Source organism: Homo sapiens, chromosome 20 (assembly GCF_000001405.40).
Source record: "Homo sapiens chromosome 20, GRCh38.p14 Primary Assembly".
NCBI classification, from domain to species: Eukaryota; Metazoa; Chordata; class Mammalia; order Primates; family Hominidae; genus Homo; species Homo sapiens.
Window position 1 is genome coordinate 48,789,320 of NC_000020.11, and position 20,768 is coordinate 48,810,087.

The 20,768-nt window shown below is 49.9% G+C and overlaps 1 protein-coding gene across 4 annotated transcripts in view, besides 5 other annotated features; it reads right to left on the reverse strand.

The window, feature by feature from the left end:
* Positions 1-20,768, reverse strand: part of PREX1 (phosphatidylinositol-3,4,5-trisphosphate dependent Rac exchange factor 1) — a 263,934-nt gene that overhangs the window by 165,068 nt on the left and 78,098 nt on the right. The gene's annotated exons all lie outside the window — the stretch shown is intronic.
* Positions 879-978: a silencer, noted in NCBI's record as "silent region_12987". NCBI's record gives its function as "represses an Ori minimal core promoter by ATAC-STARR-seq in GM12878 lymphoblastoid cells {active_cell/tissue: GM12878}" and the evidence as "EXISTENCE:reporter gene assay evidence [ECO:0000049][PMID:35858748]".
* Positions 4,525-5,180: an enhancer, noted in NCBI's record as "H3K4me1 hESC enhancer chr20:47410381-47411036 (GRCh37/hg19 assembly coordinates)". NCBI's record gives its function as "activates a minimal SCP1, AML or CMV promoter by ChIP-STARR-seq in primed H9 embryonic stem cells {active_cell/tissue: H9 hESC(primed)}" and the evidence as "EXISTENCE:reporter gene assay evidence [ECO:0000049][PMID:30033119]".
* Positions 5,181-5,834: an enhancer, noted in NCBI's record as "H3K4me1 hESC enhancer chr20:47411037-47411690 (GRCh37/hg19 assembly coordinates)". NCBI's record gives its function as "activates a minimal SCP1, AML or CMV promoter by ChIP-STARR-seq in primed H9 embryonic stem cells {active_cell/tissue: H9 hESC(primed)}" and the evidence as "EXISTENCE:reporter gene assay evidence [ECO:0000049][PMID:30033119]".
* Positions 8,407-9,017: an enhancer, noted in NCBI's record as "H3K4me1 hESC enhancer chr20:47414263-47414873 (GRCh37/hg19 assembly coordinates)". NCBI's record gives its function as "activates a minimal SCP1, AML or CMV promoter by ChIP-STARR-seq in naive H9 embryonic stem cells {active_cell/tissue: H9 hESC(naive)}" and the evidence as "EXISTENCE:reporter gene assay evidence [ECO:0000049][PMID:30033119]".
* Positions 10,038-10,538: an enhancer, noted in NCBI's record as "H3K4me1 hESC enhancer chr20:47415894-47416394 (GRCh37/hg19 assembly coordinates)". NCBI's record gives its function as "activates a minimal SCP1, AML or CMV promoter by ChIP-STARR-seq in naive H9 embryonic stem cells {active_cell/tissue: H9 hESC(naive)}" and the evidence as "EXISTENCE:reporter gene assay evidence [ECO:0000049][PMID:30033119]".

Here is a 20,768-nt window from a genome sequence, read left to right on the forward strand (position 1 = left end):
GGCCCTGACTCTGCTCCTCACCACAGAGGTTTTCTGAGTAATAATGATGGTAATAACAACATCATCAACAGTCAGGGCTTGCTGAGAGCTCAGGATGGGCCAGTGGGCTTGCTCTAAGCACGTTCATATGGTTATCTCATTTAATACAACACCCTTAGCAGTGGGTATCATTAGTCTCCCCGTGCTATAGATAAGGGAGCGGAGTCACCTGCCCAGAGTCACACAGCTTGTCTGTGGCAGGGCCAGGCTATCAGCCAGCCCCCACGCAGCCACTTGAAATGAGTATTTTTATGTTGATATGAGTAACTATGGCTATCATATCAAAACCATTATTTCATGAACATTATTAAGCTGAGACTATAAAGTTTTTAAAAAGGGAGGAGGTTCAGATTGAGTAAAAATATTATATAGACAATGTTGTGACTGGTATTTGAATATTATACAAATCATAAGACTGATACTGAAATGAGTATATTGCAGGAAATACTGGACGGACAGATGAACAGACGGACGGATGACAAATGGATGGACAGATGGATGGACAGGTGGGTGGGTGGGGAGATGGATGGGTGATGGATAAGGAGGAAAGAAGAAGGGAGAAAAAGAATGAAGTGAAGAAGGGGAGGAAAGAAGGAGAAAAATGGGCCTGGCACGTAGTAGGTGCTCAACCAATATGCTGAATGAACCCATTAGCAAAGAAGTAGTAGAGTGCTGTAGTTAAGAGTGTGGGCTTTGAAGTCAGACTGCTGGTTCATGACTTGGCTCAGCCTTTCCTCGCTGAGGAACCCTGGGCATGTGACAAAACCTCTCTGTGCCCCAGTCTCCTGGACTGTGAAATGGGACAATAGGAACACTTCCATCAAGGCAGCCAGAAGAAATAAGTCAGTTAATGAATGCAGAATGCTCAGGACACAGCCGGATGCATCCTAAGTGCTTGGTAAGTGTCAGCTAACAATATGATGAGTAAGTTGTCAAATCCATTCTAGGGCTGACCCAGTCTAACCACCTCTCTATTTCAGAAGCAACCTCAAGTTCCACGAGCCTCCCCCGAAAGTAGGAACGGAAGAGAGGAAACAGAGGAACAAAAGGCTCCACTCTCCCCAGGCTCCAAGGAAAAAGGAGGGTGGAGGGCTGCAAGGTAATTTAAGAAGTTTAACAGGGAAAAAAAGTCTTCAACATGAGTGCGGAAAAAAAAAAGATAAATTCAATGGTCCAGGCTGCCTCTCGAGACAGCTAAATTCTGTTGTGCTCATTCTGCATGCTTCAGCTTTTCTTAGACTCTGAGGAGTTTTTGCCTAAATTAGAGCCTGCAATATGCTGAAGAGAAGAAAGGGAAGGTGAAGGGAGGCAGAGAAAGGATCAGGGGCCTGTTAGGCACGCCCTAGAGGAAGCCTGGCTGTTCCATCCACTCCAACACTGAATGCCGAGACAGTGAAAGTCAAATCCCAGCACCTTTCCCCACAGCCACAGCCACAAGCTGTGGGTTGCACCCAAGTCCCACAGCCCAGCCCTCAGTGCACTCAACACTTTCCCTGCCATATCCCAACATCCCCAGCAGCAGCCACCCAGATTCTCCAGAACATCTGCTTACCTCTACCCACCCTGTCCCCATCAGCTCCCACCCTCCCCAGTCAACTGAAACATTACTGGCTGCTCAGGTGACTGCTATCACCACCCGGGAACCCCAACACATATTTATTCCCAGGAATATGTGAGAGGGTGAGAGTGTGCGCATGTGCATGAATAATGCATACACTGTACTTATGCAAGGAGATATGCATGCAGAAAACGGCACCCCAGCTAGCTGACTTGGAACTGTGCAGATTCATGCACACACACACACACACACACTAATATCACTCCCTTCGGTAAACACAGACAGACAAAGCACACAGAAATAAATCGTTACCTTCGCGCTGCTGCTGCCAGATGGCAGAGCCTGGCATTGCTGTGTCTGCACGTCTGTGCATTTGTGTGTAATAATAACGGTGGCTGACATGACTGAGCTCCTACCACGTGCTGGACGCTGTCCTAAGTGCTGCATCAAACCCAGAGGAGGTGTTATTATTACCCGTTTCATAGCTGGGGAAACCAAGGCACAGAGGTCAAGTCATTTGCCCCAAGGTCACCCTGCTGGTGAGGGGTAAAGTCAAGGACTACAGAATAAGCACCCAATATGAGCAAGTCTCGTTTTATGACCCTGGGGGGTGACAGGGAGGAATCCCAAGATGACCAGCTGCCATGGGGGTCCTCAACAAGCCCACCGTCCCAGTGATGGGTCAGGTTTCAACACAATTGAAACGGACAAGAGCCAGAACTCCCCAGGAAAGAGGGGTGCCCAAGGTTCAGAAATGTTTGAAATCAAGTTCAGTGTCCAGCAAAGTCCTCACCACCAGCAACAAGTCAACCCGGGGGCAGAGTATGCAAACTGGCAACCCACAGGTTTGGCCCACAGTCATGTTTGGTTTGGCCCATGAAGTGTTTGTTAAAAATGTGATTGAGTTGCCAACTTTTAAAAATCGAGTGATTTCATACCAAAAACTCCACATTTCCTGCCATTGGAAAATGTCTTTAAGAAGTCAAGAGATCTGGCAATACCGGGCTCGAGTTCCCGCACGGGGACTGCTGCCTGGGGCTGAGAGGTGGCTGCTTGCTTGACATGGGACATGTGCTCCAGAAGGCACAGATTGGGGTTGGGGGCCTGCCTGTGGGGGCTCACTTCTGTGCCTCAGTTTCTTCATCTGTAAAACAGCTTCCCCATAGGACTGGTGTCTGGCACCCAGCAAGCACTCAATAAATGTTAAATAGCACTGCTGTCTCCCCAACATCCAAGGCCCAGGGCTTGAGGCATTGTTTTATAAAAATAAGAGCTAAGGCCAGGCGTGGTGGCTCATGCCTGTAATCCCAGCACTTTGGGAGGCCAGGTGGATCACCTGAGGTCAGGAGTTCGAGACCAGCCTGACCAACATGGAGAAACCCGGTCTCTACTAAAAACACAAAATTAGCTGGGCATGGTGGCTCATGCCTGTAATCCTAGCTACTCAGGAGGCTGAGGCAGGAGAATCACTTGAACCCAGAAGGCAGAGGTTGCTGTGAGCCAAGATCGCGCCACTGCACTCCAGCCTGGGCAACAAGAGCAAAACTCCATCTCAAAAAAAAAGGAGCTAACACACATCTAGCACCCGCGCTGTCCCAGGCTCTGTTCTGAGAGCTGTACTTTATGAACTCACTCAATCGTCCCAAGAAACCTATGAGACCATTCCTAGGTAAAAGCCCAAGAGAAATAAAAACTATCTCCATACAAAAACTTGTACACTCATGTGCATAGCAGTATTATTCATAGTAGCCAAACTGTCAAAACCCAAATGTCCATCAGCTAATGAATGGATAAACAAAATGTATATCCATATAATGGAATATGATACAGCCATAAAAAAGGAATGAAATTCTGACACATATTACAATGTGGAAGAAGCCAGATACAAAAAAAAAAAAAATACACACACACACACACACACACACACACACACACACATAGTATGATTCCATTTATATCCATTTATATGAAATGTCCAAATCTGTAGAGATAGAAAGTACATTAGTGGGCCAGGCATGGTGGCTCATGCCTGTAATCCCAGCACTTTGAGAGGCAAGTTGGGTGGATCACTTGAGGTCAGGAGTTCGAGACCAGCCTGGCCAACATTGCGATACCCCATATCTACTAAAAATACAAAAATTAGCCTGACATGGTGGTATGCGCCTGTAGTTCCAGCTACTTGGAAGGCTGAGGGGGGAGAATTGCTTGAACCGGAAGGCAGAGGCTACAGTGAGCTGAGATCGTGCCACTGCACTCCATCCTGGATAACAGAGCAAGAAACTGTCTCAAAATAAATAAATAAATACATACATACATAAATAAGTAGACTAATGGTTCCAGGGATTGGGGAAGTGGAATAATGGGGAGTGACTACCAATGGGTTTGGGTTGTTTTTCAGGTGTGATTAAAACGTTCTGAAATTAGAAGATAGTGACAGTTACACAAGCTTCTGAATATACCAAAAGCCACTGGAGTGGACACTTTGGGGAATTCCTTATGGCATGTGAATTATACTCAATTAAAAAATTAAAAAGAGAAACACCTATGAGATAGGCATTCTTGTTATTCCCATTTTACAGATGAGAAAACCAAGGTACAGAGAGATTAAGGGTAAAGAGATGTTCCTCTATATCCACATCGATGTTGAAAGTAGAGAGACAAAGTTAGGGGGAGAGGGTTACGTGATTTTTCCTGCACTGGCTGCTTTACCGGTCACAGCCATAGGGATCTGGATTTGCAACCCTTGCTCGGGCAAATCATTTACTCTCTCTGAGCCCGAGGCAAAGGCCAGACAGGAATGGCTTTTCTCTTAATCTTGATCCCTCTCGGGTCCCCAAGGACCCTACAAGTCTGGAGCATTACATGGAAGCATTACTTATTCATATGTAAGGGTCAGTTCTGGCCATTAATAAATGATGATTTTAACGACTCACAGTGGTCCACTCCCAGGGAAATGGGAAGAAACCATTCTGGGTTTTCTAGGTCCAAGCCCTTCACATGGCTGGCTCAGATGTCAAAGCAAGTGGCTCAGTAGCCCATCTCCTCCCAAGTGTCTGGCCAGGAGAAGAACCCCTTACTCACCAGGCAGAATATGACCTCACCGGGCTAAAGGATCCCCTCACTCACTAGAAGCCCCCATGGGACAAGAGGACCCCTACCCCACAGAGTGGGAGGACCCCCTTATGAACACCCCCATAATTTGGAGCAGCAGGCTCTCACTGAGCTACTGGGAGCTGCAAACGAGCCCCTCTAAACCAAGGCCCTGTCTCTGAGCACGGAAGGGACCTCAAGGTGCCCTGCACCTCATTCTCAGATGCAGGGACCAGCCTGTGAATGAAGTATCAGAAGCCAGACAGTGAGAGGGAGAAACAGAGGGAGATAGGGGCACAGAGAATGAGACTGAGACAGAAAAACAGAGAGAGGGAAGGCAAGGGGCGGACAGAGAGTCCTGAAGGAAGCTGGAGGCAAAGCTGGGAAGACAGAGCTAACCAGGACAATGAAAACAAGAGCTCTCTCTCCACTCCAGAAGGAAAGAGGCCAGGAGGCAGAGAGGAGGCCCAGCAGGAGCCTTTGCTTGGGGTCCTTCCCACACTGCAGGGCAGCACCAGTACTGCCCAGGAGCCCCCATCAGTGGGTGGTGGGGGTGGCTTCCCAGCCAGGCTGGAGCCTGCCAGGGCAGCCTCTGCAGAGGAGGAGGCCGGCTGGTCAGGCTGGGGGCTGGGCCGGGAAGTGCCAAGCACCCAGCCAGGTTGCCATGGCCACGGAGACAAAGAGAGGGGCTGAGGAGAGGCCCAGGGACAGGGTCCCTAAGAGGGGCCCCGGCTGCCTACAGTCCTCGGGGACTGGGCCTTGGATGTTGGGGAGACAGCAGTGCTATTTAACATTTATTGAGTGCTTGCTGGGTACCAGACAGCAGTCCTATGGGGAAGCTGTTTTACAGATAAAGAAACTGAGGCACAGAAGCGAGCCACTGCAGTATCTCATAGGGGTTTTTGTGACTAGCCTATGAGTTGATTAAGTGAAACTCTTTAGTACAGTTCCCAATGTATTGAAACCCTCACATGTCAACTATTATTGCAAAATGTCACCAAAAGTCAGGTGACATTGTTAATGTAATTCTCTTGCGTCCTTATCCTCAGTCACTAACATGACACCTGATGTGTCATGTATGTATTTGATGACCGGCTTACTGTCTGCCTCTTACCAGAGGGTTAGATCCATAAGGACAGGGGCTCGGGTCTGTTCCATCACCCACTAAACACTCAGCTCAGCCCAGAACTGTACCTGGCAGAGCTGGGATGCTGGTTCTGCCACGTATTTGCTGTGTGACCCAAGACAAATGACTCAACCCCTCTGAGCCTCCATTTCCTTATCTGTGGAATGGGAATACAATGATGATGACCTTGCCCACATACAGAGAGGCTCAAAGAAGGATGCTCCTGCAGCACTGCTTAGTACAGACCAGTGACTTTCAAATGAGGGCAATTTTGCTTGCCCCAACCCCCCACCCCTGAGGACATATGGCACTGTCTGGAGATATTTTTGGTTGTCACAACTGAGGAGGAGGGTGCTTTTGGCTGGTGGGTAGAGCCAGGGACGCTCCTAAACATTCTACAATGCACAGGATAGGATAATCCCCCACAACAAAGCCCCAAATGTCACTAGAGCTGAGGCTGAGAAATCCAGAAGAAAAAGAAAAAGGCAGGAACCACCAAGATGCCCATCAAGAAGGGAATGAATGTATAAACTCCAGCAGAATCGCCCTGCAAAATGGTAGGCAGAAGTCAGAAGGAAGGGCCTGAAACTGTGTAAAACAACATAAAAAGATTATCCAGACATACACATCCCATGAGCAAAGCCAGCTCAGAATGCTAGGTGATCCTACGTTTACCCTCAGGGACCCAGAATTTGAACCCAGGAGCTCAGCCCCAAGCCTACAGATTTAACCACCTGCTCCACCAGCCTCTGCTCTGTATCTTTTACCAAAACAAATGCACGTGCTCGAAAGCATGCTATGTCACTGCTGCAGGTTCACATCGATGTGTGGCAATGACATGAACAAACACACAGGGAAAGATCTGGAAAGCTGCACACCAGCCTATTAACAAGAGCAACTGGGGCTGGAGGCAACCAGGAACACGAAGGGGTAGGTTACCTCATCCACAATGCATTAATTTTCTACAAGAAGAATGCATTTGTATTTGTCATGTTATGAAACATTAATGAAAAATTACAAATACATACACTCTTTAACCCAGAAATTCCATTCCCAGAAATGAATAAACTTACAGGTATGAAGTGGCATGTGTCTGTCCCACCATGATTTGTAATGGCAAAAGATGGGCACAACCTCAGTGTCCATCAACAGGGGACTAATTTAATAATAATTAAAAAAAAAAAAAAAGTACCTCCATTCAACAGAATTCTATACAGCTATCATTTTTGAAATGAGGCAATTCCATGTGCTATCATGGAACAACCTCCATCATACAGGCACAAAGCAAAATGCAGAAACGTGTACTGTGGGCCCCACTTGTGTAACAAAAGGGGTACACCCAGACTATCTGAAGGGGCCTGTATGACACCGGGGCCAGTGGCTGCCTCTGGGGAGGGAACTTGGAGGCTAACATTTCATTCTATCTCACTGTATGCTTTTTAATTTGAACCATGAAAATGATTACACATTTATATATTTATATATTTATATGTGTACATATACATATATACTGTATATATAAATATCCAGTTATATGTGTCGTACATCATATATGGTATATATAACATAGATGTGATATAAAATGTATATAAAATAGTTTTATATATGTATATGCGTAATTATATATACATATATAGTTATATATACAGTTATATACACATATAATTATATACACATGTATAGCTGTAACATTTTAAATTAATTTAAAAGACACAAAAGATCATATACTATATAATTCCATTTTACATAAAGTTCAAAAACAGGCAAAACTAATCTTCGCAGATACAAATCAGAACAGTGGTTACTTTTGGGGATACTGACTGGGAGAAGACACCCTCTGGGGTGCTGGCAATATCTGATCTGAGTGACAGTTATTCAGATATATCTTATTATAAGCTCACCAAGCCGTTTACTTGGTGTATTGTACATTTTGCATACAAGATATACCTAAAATAATTAAAATTTTAAAATTTTAATGGAAGAAAAAGGACTGATCACGGTGGAAAGCATTTCTGGAAATTCTCTAAATTCTATCATCCCCCTTTACCAGAGGGAGCTCTTTGCTTGGGTCCCTGAGAGGTGGCCAAGCTAGGGTCCAGCCCCGCACCACAACTTCCCCAGAAAAAAGCCAAATGGGAATCAAGCTGGCCTTTGTGGTTGAGTCCAGCAGAGCAGGACAAAGGGCCAAATGACGGCCCCCTGCTCCCCCCAGACCCCCCCCAGGACACTGAAGCCCATTCATGTTGGAGGCTGGCCATTTCCCCAGGGCTCCAGCCCCCTCCTCTCAGGAGCTGGGAACAATATCCCCTTTTACCACCCCTCTTGTCTCTCACTTCCGCATTTAATTGCAAGTTCATGGGTATTAAGTGGCCCATACAGCTGACCCAGCTCTCTCTCCCCTCCCATCCCCCCAAAAAAGAGGCCCACAGCGCTGTCTCTGTTCACTGCCCCTGTGTGCCCGCTCTTTCTCAATGATCTTCCCCAGAGAGAAAGAGAACGACACCCCCGTCGGTCCCCGCTTGTCACCTTCCTCAAACAACCCTGTTCTCACCCAGAAAGCACAGTCTGGCAAAGCGAGCTGCTCGTGGCCCTGGCACAGGGCGCCAGGCCTGCAATGGCAGCTCTGTCCCGACTTTCCCGGCCAGCGGCACATCCACTTTGCACCCCGCTGTAACCCCACCTGATGCCTGAGAACACTGAGGCCCAGGAGAGTCGATGACAGGCCTGCAGTCCTGACAGAGCCAGTGCTCAGACCCTCAAGATTCCTCAGCCTGGATCTGTGACTTTCCCTAAGCTGCCTTCTTGTCCCCATTCAAGGGGGTGCCCAAAGCCTTTGACTCTTAATCTCTTCTCTAGCTTTGCAATTCCAGGGACGACGCTGAGCTCATCTGTAACCTTTAAGGGTTGGGAAGAAGTCACGTAAGTCAATCTCCTGCCTTTTGCATGAACTCACTTTTGCCCTTGCCCATGGGGTTCCTACCTCTGGAATGTCCTCAAGTCTGCCGCATCTATCCTGAAAGTCTCCACCTCCTCCAGGAAGCCTTCCAGGTTGTATGGGTCAAGGTCTAGTTTCCCCTCCTCCACTGAAAAACTTTATCACCCACATTCCTCCACTACCAATTCAAGTCCAACCCAGCTCTATCTCCATCCACCTCCTGGTCCAAGCCACCACCATCCCTCACTGGACACTGAGGCAGCTACCTAACCAATCTTGCTGCTCCTACGGTCCAGCCTCCATACCCACACCTAAGGGTCCTTTTTAAATCATCCATCAGACCACTCTTCTGCTCTGCTTAAAGCCCTCCCCGGCAGGCTGCCACACTGGGAGGAAATCCCTGCTCCTCACCTCTTCCTGGAAGGCCCTGCATGCTCTGTCCCATTACCCTCCTCAGCCTTCCCTCCCTCCACACCAGCACCAGCCTCCCCGCTGCACTTAAACTCTGACAAGTCCTTTCCCACCTCCCAGCCCATGCGCTTGCAAACTGAAGTGTACCTGTCAATCAGCTGGGGGCCTTGTCAAAAGCAGATTCTGCTGCGGTGGATGTGAGGTGAGCCCAAGCTCCCACGGTGATACTGCCAAGTCCCTGGAGCACACGTGGAGGAGCTTTGGCATGCAGTAGGTGCTCAACAAAATTCATCTCCTGGTGTTATATTCACCTGACTAAATTTAGAAGGAACTGTGTATCTGACCCTCCTGCTGGGATTAAATTGGAATCGCTTCAGATCTATGCAAGACCCTGACTTAAATCTCTAAATATGAATTAAATAACTTTTTTCTTTTTGAGACAGAGTCTCGCTCTGTCGCCTAGGCTCCAGTGCAATGGCGAGATCTCGGCTCACTGAAACCTCCACCTCCCGAGTTCAAGCAATTCTCCTGAATAGCTGAGATTACAGGCACGCGCCACCACCCACAGCTAATTTTTGTATTTTTAGTAGAGACGGGGTTTCACCACGTTGGCCAGACTGGTCTTGAACTCCTGATCAAGTGATCCGCCCACCTCAGCCTCCCAGAGTGCTGAAATTACAGGCATGAGCCACCCCACCTGGCCCTGAATAAATAGCATTTTAATTTAAAATATAACAGCTATCATTTCTTGAGTGCCCACACATTTTCTTTCATTTAATTCTCAAGACTCTCATATACACTTGGTTGAGGGTGGCAGGAGCTTGCTGCATGGAAGCCCCTCACAGTCCCCAAGTGAGATCCCCACTGCCCACCACAAGGACATGCAGACAGGCCTGGAAGAGGAAAACGTTCGAAACATCCCTCTAAGCCTGTGTCCACCCAAGCACACTGTCAGTGGCATCCTAAAACGAAGAGCAACTCCTATAAACCCTGTGGCCCTGCCCCGAGCAGCGCGGTCTATCACCCTGGAGACTGCATGTGCTAAAAGCGTTAGCTGGTTCAAACTTAAGTATTTCAAAAGCCACCCTCTGGGGCCCCAGTCTTATCCTACATGCATTTTGTTAATAATACAGCCAAAGACTGGAGGGGCCTTGGCTTCCTGTGTACCCCATGGGTAAGGGTTTTCCAGCCCCATTTTAGATAGGTGGAAAATGGGGTACAGAGAGGTTGTCCTGCAGGCAAGCGGGCCTCTGTCCCCCCACAACAGGGCAGAGGGGCCAGCTGGGTTGAAACCCAAGAAGAAAGTACCCGTGTTCTCCTGGGTGAGGGGGCAGGGGCTGCGGGCACAAGGGCCCTGCTTATCAGTGGCCACCAGTACCTCTCCCTGGCTGGGCACCTCCACCCATCCAGATAGGATCTCACTCTAATCTGCCTCTGCGCCAGGGGCCAGCAGACCCCTGCCATAAAGGGGGCCTTGGGGGACTTTGATGTGGTAGAGGACAGAGCCAGCCTGACTTGTGGGCCAGCTGTGGCGGAGGGGAGAGCCTAAGGAGCTTCAAAACAGTCTCAGCTTCTCTCCTGTCCATGTGGGACTCTGGAGAATTTGAATAAAGCTATTTCACCAAACTTTACACTCATTTAAACTTCACTACAACCCTTAAGGTAGCTACTATAATCACCCCACGTTTTACAAGTGGAAAACTGAGGCACAGAGAGCCTAAATAGCCTGCTCAAGGTCACACCGCTGGGAAGTGGCAGGGCTAATTCAAATGCAGGCTGAGCTGACATTAAGGGCCTGGATTTATTGATAAGCCCCTTATCAGTAGGGCGACCAACAGCCCCAGTTTACTGAGGTCTGAGGGGTTTCCTGAGATGTGGGACTTTTAGTTTTAAAACCAGAACAGTCCTAAGCAAACTGGGGCAGTTGGTCACTCTATTTACCACTTGACTTATCAGTGAGAATAAAGATAATAATAGTAACAGCGACAGCAGCCAACAATCCCTGGGCACTTAGGATGTGTGCCCGGCATCATGCAAACCCCAAAGCCTCACCACACAGTGGTCCTGTGAGGTGGGAGCTTTTGTTCCCTCTCTTTCCCTCCCTCATGTCACAGACGAGGAAACCAAGGACCAGGGAAGCTGCAGAACTTACCTACGAGGCGTAAAAGGGAGTACAGCCTCTCAGATGGCAAAAGCAGCCAGCTATCCATGTACTGAGCCTCTCGGGCAGGGCTAAAACAAGGCCCCAAGCACCATGGTACATACTGAACACGGGCCTTTATAATGAGACCAATGCCTTTAACATACATGACACATGACCTAACCACTCTGGATGCAAATATCTAATTTTTTTTTTTTGTAGTGACAGGATCTCACTATGTTGCCCAGGCTGGTCTTGAACTCTTAACCTCAAGCAATCCTCCCGCCATGGCCTCCCAAAGTGCAGGGATTACAGGTGTGGGCCACCGCACTCAGCCTGTGGATGCAAATAATTATGGGATTTCTAAAGATATGTTAGCTTAAAATCTGCCACTTACTAGCTGGGTAACCTTTGGAGAGTTCCTGCCTATCACCAGGATAAAATGGGGATAATAAGAATCCTTCCCTCACAGGCTGCAGTGAGTATCCCACAAGATTGTGCAGCTGAAGAGCTTAAGACATGGTCTAGCTCGTGTGAAGAACCAGCTACTAGTAGCAGTATTCGTACTGGCATTAGTGTCTATGCCATCATAGGCAGCGTGGTCTTTTGTGGAAACCATGCGAGCTGCGTAAGCACCAAGGAACATCTCCTCTTTCAGCAACTCTCCATGCCTCATGCATCGGTGACACTGAAGGTCTAATTCTGAGAAGCTGGCCAGTCGGGCTCTCCCTCTTGCTGAGAAAATGAGACCACACCAGGCCTGACAACCACACACCTGCCTGCCCTAAGTCATCTTGAAGCAAGCCCAGCCCCACCACGCAGAGACACCCAAAGAGCTTCCTAAAACCATCCTGCGACAGAGTCCCTTCTGGTCAGAGCACCATCCTCCAGTAGGTAAGGGCCAAGGCACAGTTTCACCTCCGTGGATATAGGCTTTCTGTTGAGAAACCAGCCTGCGTCCTGCATCCAGTCGCTCCTCTCCTCCCACCACCACCCTGGGCCAGGACACCCACGTCTCTCCCCGGGGCTGTTGCAGTCACCTCCTCACTGGTCTCCCCACTTATCTTTGTCCCCTGCTATGGTTTAGCTATGGCTTATTTGTCCCCACCAAAACTCATGTTGAAATCTGGTCCCCAGTGAGGCGATGTTGAGAGGCAGGGTCGCATGGGAGGTGTTTGAGTCATGGAGGCGGACCCCTCATGAGTGGGCTGGTGCCATCCTCACAGTAGTGAGCTCTCACTCTGGGGAGTCTGGATTAGTTCCCCAAGAGTGGGTTGTTATAAAGCCAAGACGCCCCTTGGGTTTTGTCTCTTCACTCATGTCTGCTTTCTCTCTGACCTTCTCTGCCATGCCATGATGCAGCAGGAAGGTCTTCATCAGACACCATGGCCATGCCCTTGAACTTCCCAGCCTGTGCAACTGTGAGCTAAATAAATCTCTTTTCTTTATAAATTACCCAGCTTCAGGCGTTCTGTTATAAGCAGCAGAAAACAAACTAAGACACCCTGCACACACCCCATCCCCACCCCCGCCAAACCATCTACTTTCTTCACGGTAGCCAGGTAGCCAGAGGGGTTCTTTTAAAAGGTAAGTCATTCACTGTCACTGCCTGGCCTAATGCTCCTACAGCTTCTCTACCTCTTACAATAAAAGCCCAACCCTTTGCCATGGCCTCCAAGACCCTGCCCAATGCAGCCCCCACATGGTGCTCAGATCTCTTCTCCCACCCATTCTCCCCTCACTCACTCTACCCAGCCACACCAGCCTCCTTGATGATCCTGAAATTGGCCAAGCTCATCCCTGCCTCGGGGCCTTTGCACAGGCTACTCTTCCTGCCTTAATTCCCATGGCTGGCTTCTCAGTGTCCAGGTCCCAGCTCAAAGGCCACCTCATCAGACAGGCAGGCCTTCCCTGATCATCAGATCCAAAACAGCCCCCGACTCTAATTCATATCTCTGTGTTACTGTCTGCATAGCACTTGTCACTTACAAGATTTTTCTCATTTGTTATTTCTTCATTATTCATCTCCCCCATCCCAAACATCAGAGATATGAGAGCAGGGATTGTATCTGTTTTGATCACTGCTGTTTCCCCCATGCCTGGCACACAGTAGGACCTTAGTCAGTATCTGCTGACAGCATGAAGACAGCAGAAAACAAGATTCCTGGAGCTCTAAGTATGCCTGACATGGTGTGGGAATCCCCCATTCCCTTTGCAACAAGGGCTCTGAGAGAAGCCAGGCCGTTCTGCGAGCTTGTAACAGGGGCCCTGGCCCAAGCTGGGGAGTGAGGAGCGGGCAAGCCAAGGGGGGCTTTCCTGAGAAGACGCCTTAGACCCCCACCACCCAGCGTGCTCCCTGGACCAGTGGCATCAGCGTCTCATCTCCTGGGAGCTTGCTTAGAAATGCGGCATCTCAGGCCCTACTCCAGACCTGCTGATCCAAAATCTGCATTGGAACTAGGTTTGCAGGTAGTTCAGAGGTATAGTCAGATTTGCGATATCCTGGTTTAAACCCCCAGATAAGTAGGTAATAGCAGGCATGGCTGGTTCAGGGCATCCCTGGGAACCAAAAGGCTCACGGCAGGCCCACGAGGCCAATCTCATGCAAAACATGGCTTCCCAGCAGCACAGGCCAGACCAGAAAAAGCACTGAGGCCCATCCAGGGACCCCAAGCATCCTTCCTCCCTCAGACCCAAAATAGGATCCAAGAAGCTCAGAGCCAGCATATGCGGGTGGGGGAGGGAGAACAGGGAGATGAACCCAACAGATTTGCATGGCAGACTCCCCGAAAGCCATGCCATCTGGAGCCCCTTTGTGATAAAGGGAAGGGGAACAGAGTGAGAGCCAGGAGTATTTTCAAGGAGTGGGGTAAGGGGGCAAAAGAGGTATGTACAGGGAGAGGGAGGGCCACCTGTCACCAAGACCAGCAGCACCCCAATTCCACTTCCCAACCACCTGCAACACACAGGGCCACACACGCCAAAAACAGCTTGTAATCCACATAGCATCACCCCTTCTGCAGCTTCCCGAGGTCTGATATCCTGGAAGTCGTGCCCTGAGTCCTGCTCTTAGTACATGTGGTTGTGGGGCAGCCGGCACCTCACCCCATCTACACTGACGAACCTGTGACCCAGGCGTGGGCAATCAGAGCTCTGGGGCCCTCTGGATGGGTGATACTTGGTTCATGGATGGGTCCATGACCTCAAGGTCAGGCCAGGGAACACCTGGATCCAACTGTGCCTGAGGCCATTACTCCTGAGTCAAGTAAGCCCAGAAAGTCTTTTTTTGTTTGTCTGTTTGCTTCAGACTCTTCAAGTTAGGGTTTCTGTCACTTACAACCCAAACAGTCCTGAGTGATACAGCTGTTACAGCACCTATCATCCTGTAATGTCTCACTTAGGTGCCCATTTTCTCCCCTGGACTGGAGCCCTTGAGGACACACACCATTGTTTGAGTCATCTGCGTTTCTGACGCCCAGAAGAAGGCCTGGGATATAATATAATCTTCAGGAAATACGTGACAACGACTGGATAGCTCGTCCTTCTTTCACTCTGCAAATATCTACTAAGCACCCACTATGTGCCAGGCACTGTTCTAGGTGTGGGGACACAACAGGGAATAAAAGAGACAAAACCCCCTGCCCTCTGGGAGCTTAAATTCTAGCGAAGGAAGAGCAGGCAAGAAGCAGAGGAGTCAATCAAATACAAGTGCCACGGAGAAGAGGGAGACAGAGGGGGAGCATGGGAGGAGGGGTGACTTTCGATGGGAGGCCAGGGAAGGCTGGGCTGAGAGGGAGAGGCCCAAGACCTGAAGAGGTCATGAGTGCACAAATACCTGGAGAATGTTCCCGACCAACAGGACAGCATGTGCAAAGGCCCTGAGGCAGGAGTGTGCTGGGCACTTTTGGCGAAGGAGTCAGAAGACCACAGACTACAGGGCGTTGGGATTTCCTCTGGGTGAGGTGGGAGGCAGCGGGGGCTCAGATAGGACGAATGTGACCTGATTTACGCAGGGTACATGTGGAGAACCAGGGGCAAGGGTGGAAGCATGGGACAAGGGAGGAGACGACTGCAAGAGTCCCAGCAGGAGACCATGGTGGCTGAGACCCGGGGCTACCCATGGGAGGTGAGAAGTGGCCGGATCCTGGCTGCTTGTCCAAGTTGGAGCTGACAGGATTTCCTGATGGGTTGGATGTGGGATGTAAGAGGAAGAGTGGCGTCAAGATGGCCCAAGGAGGTGCCAGAGTGACTGGAAGGAGGGGGCCGCAAGAGGAGTGGCGGGGAGGAGGCAGCAAGTTTGTGATGCCTGCTGAATGCCCTCATGGAGATGTCGGGTCATCATCTAGAGGTCGGGACAGAGGTCAGGGCAAGGAATATAAATTTGAGAAATGCTGGCAGGGCATTTTAAATGATTGAGCAAGATGAGCTCAACTACAGAATGATAATGAAGTGACAGAGGAAGAGAGGGAAGAAATGGTCCCCATCTCCTTACCACCGGGCTGCCAGTGCCCACCAGCCTCCTGGCTATGTGCCGGGGAGAAGAAACGGTGATAGCAGCAGGACATCAACTCCTTGTTCTAGAACAGCTTGCTATGGACAATGGAGTTTCACATCCACTGTTTAGCCTGCTCCAAAGAGGTAGGTAGGGCAGGAATTAGCATTCCCCACCCCAACTCATCACCCAGATAAGAAACTGAGGCTCAGTCAGAGAAGGACAGGCGGGTGCAAGGTGATCCAGGCTAACTCAGCTGGCTGAGCCACCCGGCCAAGGCCAGGCTGCAGACACCACGTGCTCTCTGCCAAGTGCAGCTCTTCAGGAGCAGAAACAGAGAGACCCCCTCCACCCTACCTTCTGCGGCTGCCAAAGACCTGACACACGGGGAGGGGCTGAGAATATGTCTTGGCCCGAAGTGTTGTGGTGACTGGCAGACAACAAGTGCTGGCAGCGAATTAGGGAGCCAGGAGGGGCAGCCAGCACCACACACAGGGCTGGGTCTCCAGGGTCCCCTCAGCACCGGGGGCTCCCTTCTTCCTGGACTTACAGGCCAGCCCCAAGCCCAGAATCCCACCTCACCCCTCTGTGCCCCCCAACAGCCACCAACTCTTGAGAGAGACACCAGGGATGGGGCATCCTGCTCCCACCTCAGCCACAGGGCTCAGCCTCAGGGATCGAGACCCAGGTTCAAATCCCAGCTCCAGTGCCAACTGACAATGAGACTTAGAACCAGCTGTAACACCTCTCCAAGCTTCAATGTCCCCACCTGTAAGACAGGTGGCAAATACAGAAACACTTCCATCATCACTGCCGCCAAAGCAGCGAACATGTGCTGAGCTCTCAGGATGTGCCAGACACTGCTCTAGACCAGGGCTTCTCCCGCTCAGTGCCACTGACAATTGGGGCCAGGTAATACTGTGTGATAAGGCTGTGCTAGGCACTGTAGGACGTTCAGCAGCATCCCTGGACTCTACCTGCTTCATGACAGTAGCAGGTAGAGTCCAGACATCCTTCCTCCCCAGTTGTGACAACCAAAAATATCTCCAGACATTGCCATATGTCCCCTTTGGGGGAGGGGCCAAACTGCCCTTGTTTGAGAACCACTGTTCTAAGCCCACCAGAACATCAGCTCCAGGAGGACAAAGATCTTTGTCCATTCATCAAATCTAGGGCCTGGATTTGAACTTAAGGGACCTGGTTGCACAACTTGCTCAGACACCTGCTATCCTGATTCTCAAAGGCCTATGGGAGGGTTTATGTGACCCAATATTACATACAGGTCTGCCCCACAGTAGGTGTTTCTAAATGGTCATTTTTTGTTTGTTCTAAACTCTAGACTTGGTTCATTATTATTAATAACAGCTAACATAATTAAGCATTTATTATGTGCCAGGTACCAAATGAAACATCTTTTGCACACCATCACTCATTTCAGAGGTACAATGATCCTAGAAGGAAGGGATTACTATTACTCCCACTTTATTAAGGACAAAACTAAGGTTCAAACATGTTAAATGACTTGCCCCAGGTCACACTCCCAGTAAGAGGAGGAGCCGGGACTGAAAGATAACATACCAGCGCCTCTCAGACTTTGGGCTTTCAGATTGGTAAGTTCCCTGACAAGGGAGCAACAAGCATTTAATGAGCACTGACTGTATGCCAGGCACTGGGCTCAGCATCAGGGATACCAAGGTCAAGATGGCCCCCAAACAGCTCCAACAGCAGGCAGAAGGTGAAGAGGGCTCAGTGCCAGTATGGAGGGCTGGGGCTGGGGAAAAGGAAGTCAGAGATGCATAAGAGTAGCAGGAATGGCTTCTCAGAAGAGGTATAGGGACAGTTCAAAGGAATCCGATATCCATTCATCCATGGAACAGTCAGAGAACGCCTCTTCAAGGTGACATCTCAACAGAACATAGCTGAAGATGGAGGTGAGCCATGCTGACATGAGGGAAAAGACAACTGGCAGGGAACTGTCTTTTTTAAATTATTGTTAGTCTATATTAATTTGAAAAATAGTGTGTTAATTAGAACTAGTGTAGCAATGCCAAAAAAGTATACAAAGATAAAGTGAAAATTCTTTTTCTACACTCCCCCCCATTCTCAGCCTGAGGCTACCAAGGCTAACATCTGGTGCACATCCTGCAGTATCTTTCTCCACACTCATAAATACCCATTGAGAGAGCCTTTTTTGTGTTTTTTTTTCTCTACAAAATTGGGGTCCTGCTCTACATTTCACTCAGCAACTTATCCCTCCTTAAAGGTACAGCACATACAGCCCCTCATGTCCATAGAGACCAACCTCATTCTTTCCAACAGCTGTCCGTTACCCCAACATGTGGATCAACAACCATCCTAATGAGACTTTTCTCTGCTAACGGCCACTCACAGAGTTGCCAATTTCTTTTGCCATTAGAAACAAAACTGGAATAAACATCTTTGTAACTTACATCTTTACCTACTTTTTTTTTCTTGTTTCTATAGGAGAAGTTCCTAAAGGAACTGAATCAAAGGGTATCGTGGGTTTTTATTTTTAAAGACACTGCCAATGTATTTTCCCCCAAGGCAGCAATCATGAACACTCCCACCAGTGTCCTCTGGGACTGCTTGCTTGCCTGCAGCCAGGCCAGCGCTGGGCATTATGCCTCTTGTGTACGTGTGACGACAGTAAGGGATGGAAGGTGACGTTGACTGATAGGGTTTCTCAGCGGAAATGCAGCTCCACACAGTTCCAAAAAACACTGCCAATTCCAGAGCATTCTGGGCCCAAATGAGGCTAGAGGGGTGTGGGGGAGCAGGCTGTCCACTCAGGGGGCCCTGAGCAAGATGGGGACACCTTCCTCCCAAGCCCCTCCCCATCCTTGCAAGCCGACTCCTGAGCCTGCACCATCCTCATTTCTGAAATGGATTTCACACCCAGGAGTAACAAAGATGGCTTTGTCAGTAGGAAAGGGGAGGGGGGCACTGTTGTCGGAACATTCTGGATCCTGTTCATTCAAAGCTCTGTGTGTGGGGATGGAGAGGGCAGAGTTGGGGAACAACGGGGTGCTTCCTGCTCTGGGGCTGACCTCAGGCACAGGCACCGTGGGCAGAGCTGGAGCGGCCCCAAATTCCCTGCCATCCCCTCACTGGCACACTCCACAAACATTTGCTGAGAGCTTAGGCTGTGCCAGGCACTCCGGGAGCACTTTACATTTATCAGCTCATGCAGTTCATCCCCACAGCCCCATCAGCGAGGTCACATCATTAACACCACTGTGCAGATGAGAAAATAGAGCTCCAAGAAAAGCAGCCAGGACTCGAGGTCACACAGCTCGTGAGCAGCACAGGAGGACAAAGCAGGGGCAGTGGACTGCCATCTAGCCACCTGCAGAACAGGCTCTCCTGCCCGGGCTGCTGTGGCAGCCTCCTCCTCAGCCTCCACCCCACCTCCTATCATCTACCCGCACAAGTAGCCAGAGGGATCCTGCGAAAACTGAGTCAGATCTGCCCCTCCTCTGCTGAAACACTCCAAGGACAACACCACCTCACTCAGCGACACCACCTCACTCAGCGTAGAAAGCAAAGCCCTTACAATGGCCCTCAAGGCCCTGTGCAATCTGCCCACCAGCCTCCCTACTCCTACTGCCACCTCTCTGACTTGACCTCCCATTGCTCTGCCCCTGGCCATTCCGGCCTCCGTGTGGATCCTAAAACAGGCTCCTGCCTCAGGGCCTTTGCACTTGCTGTTTCCCATGCTTGGAATGCTCTCCCCATAAAGACAGAGGCAAAGTCCTTTTCCTGATGTTACACCCCTAGAAGGGGCAGAGCCTGGATTCAGGGAAGACAAAATGCACACAGCTGAGTCTTCAATAGAAGAGAAAGATGCTGTGTGACTCTGGGTAGGTCAGGGAACCTTTCTGAGCCTCTGCTTCCTCATCGACACAATAAACAGGCAACGCAGGAACACCTTCCCCACCAGGTTCTTGGGGGGCTATGTTGCTTGGAAAGTGTCCACTGGGCACAGTTCCTCACACATGTGGGCACCAGTGTTATAATGACATCCACAGGGAGAGCTGGAATAGTCAAGGAAGGCCTCCCAAGGAGGCAGGATAGGAGCAAGGATTCTGAGGTCAGACATGGAAAGGCCAAGAGCCACTGCAAGCAGGCCATGGGCCAACGGGGCTCCCCTGGGACCCAAGACTTGGGGGAAGGCAAAGCCTTCCAATCTGGGATCGAGGCACCAGCACAGGGGAGAAGAGATGCTCCCACCTGGCATCCCTCCCCATCTTCTGGTCCCAGCACCCTGGGGGCTTCCTTCTGGGAACCACTCCTCCCCCACTACCATGTGGTAGAGCTACATCCCTCACCCAGGAGGCAGCTGCCCCAGGGAAACAGAGAGAAATTCCCATTCTTACTGAAGGTGGTTTGAGATGGGTTTTCTGTCACTTGCAACCAAAGGATCCTGACAACCAGCCGGCTCTTGCCAATCTCAGCAGTGGTAGCAATGCCATTGTCTTTATTATTGTTCTTGTTATTTCAAAATCTTCAAGATGAGGGAGAAACGAGGCCAGGGGAGAGGCCACCAATAGGCTGCCCAAGAGCAGGAAGACACCAAACCTGACCGGGATGGTATCAGGGTCCTGCAACCTAAGAAGAGGCCCAGGCAGGGACCCTCTAACGCCCCTGGAGGAACCCACTACTTCCTCCCAGGTTCTCCCAAAGGGGCATAAGTGCAGGAAGTAGGACGGACCATGTGGGAACCTCCTGTTTAATAGCTGATGTTGCAGAAAAGAGAAGGGAGCCATTGCCCACAGGCCACAGGAAGTGGAAGTCTGGGAAACAGATTCGCACCCTCTAAGAGAGACCCACCTTCTCCCCTTTTCATCTCAAAGAACAAGAAGGACCACTCACAAACTGGAAAACAAGTCTCCAACTTAAAACCCCTATAGGAGCTGGGCAGGTAACAGGGAATGCTGTGCGCGGCTCCTTAGTAAA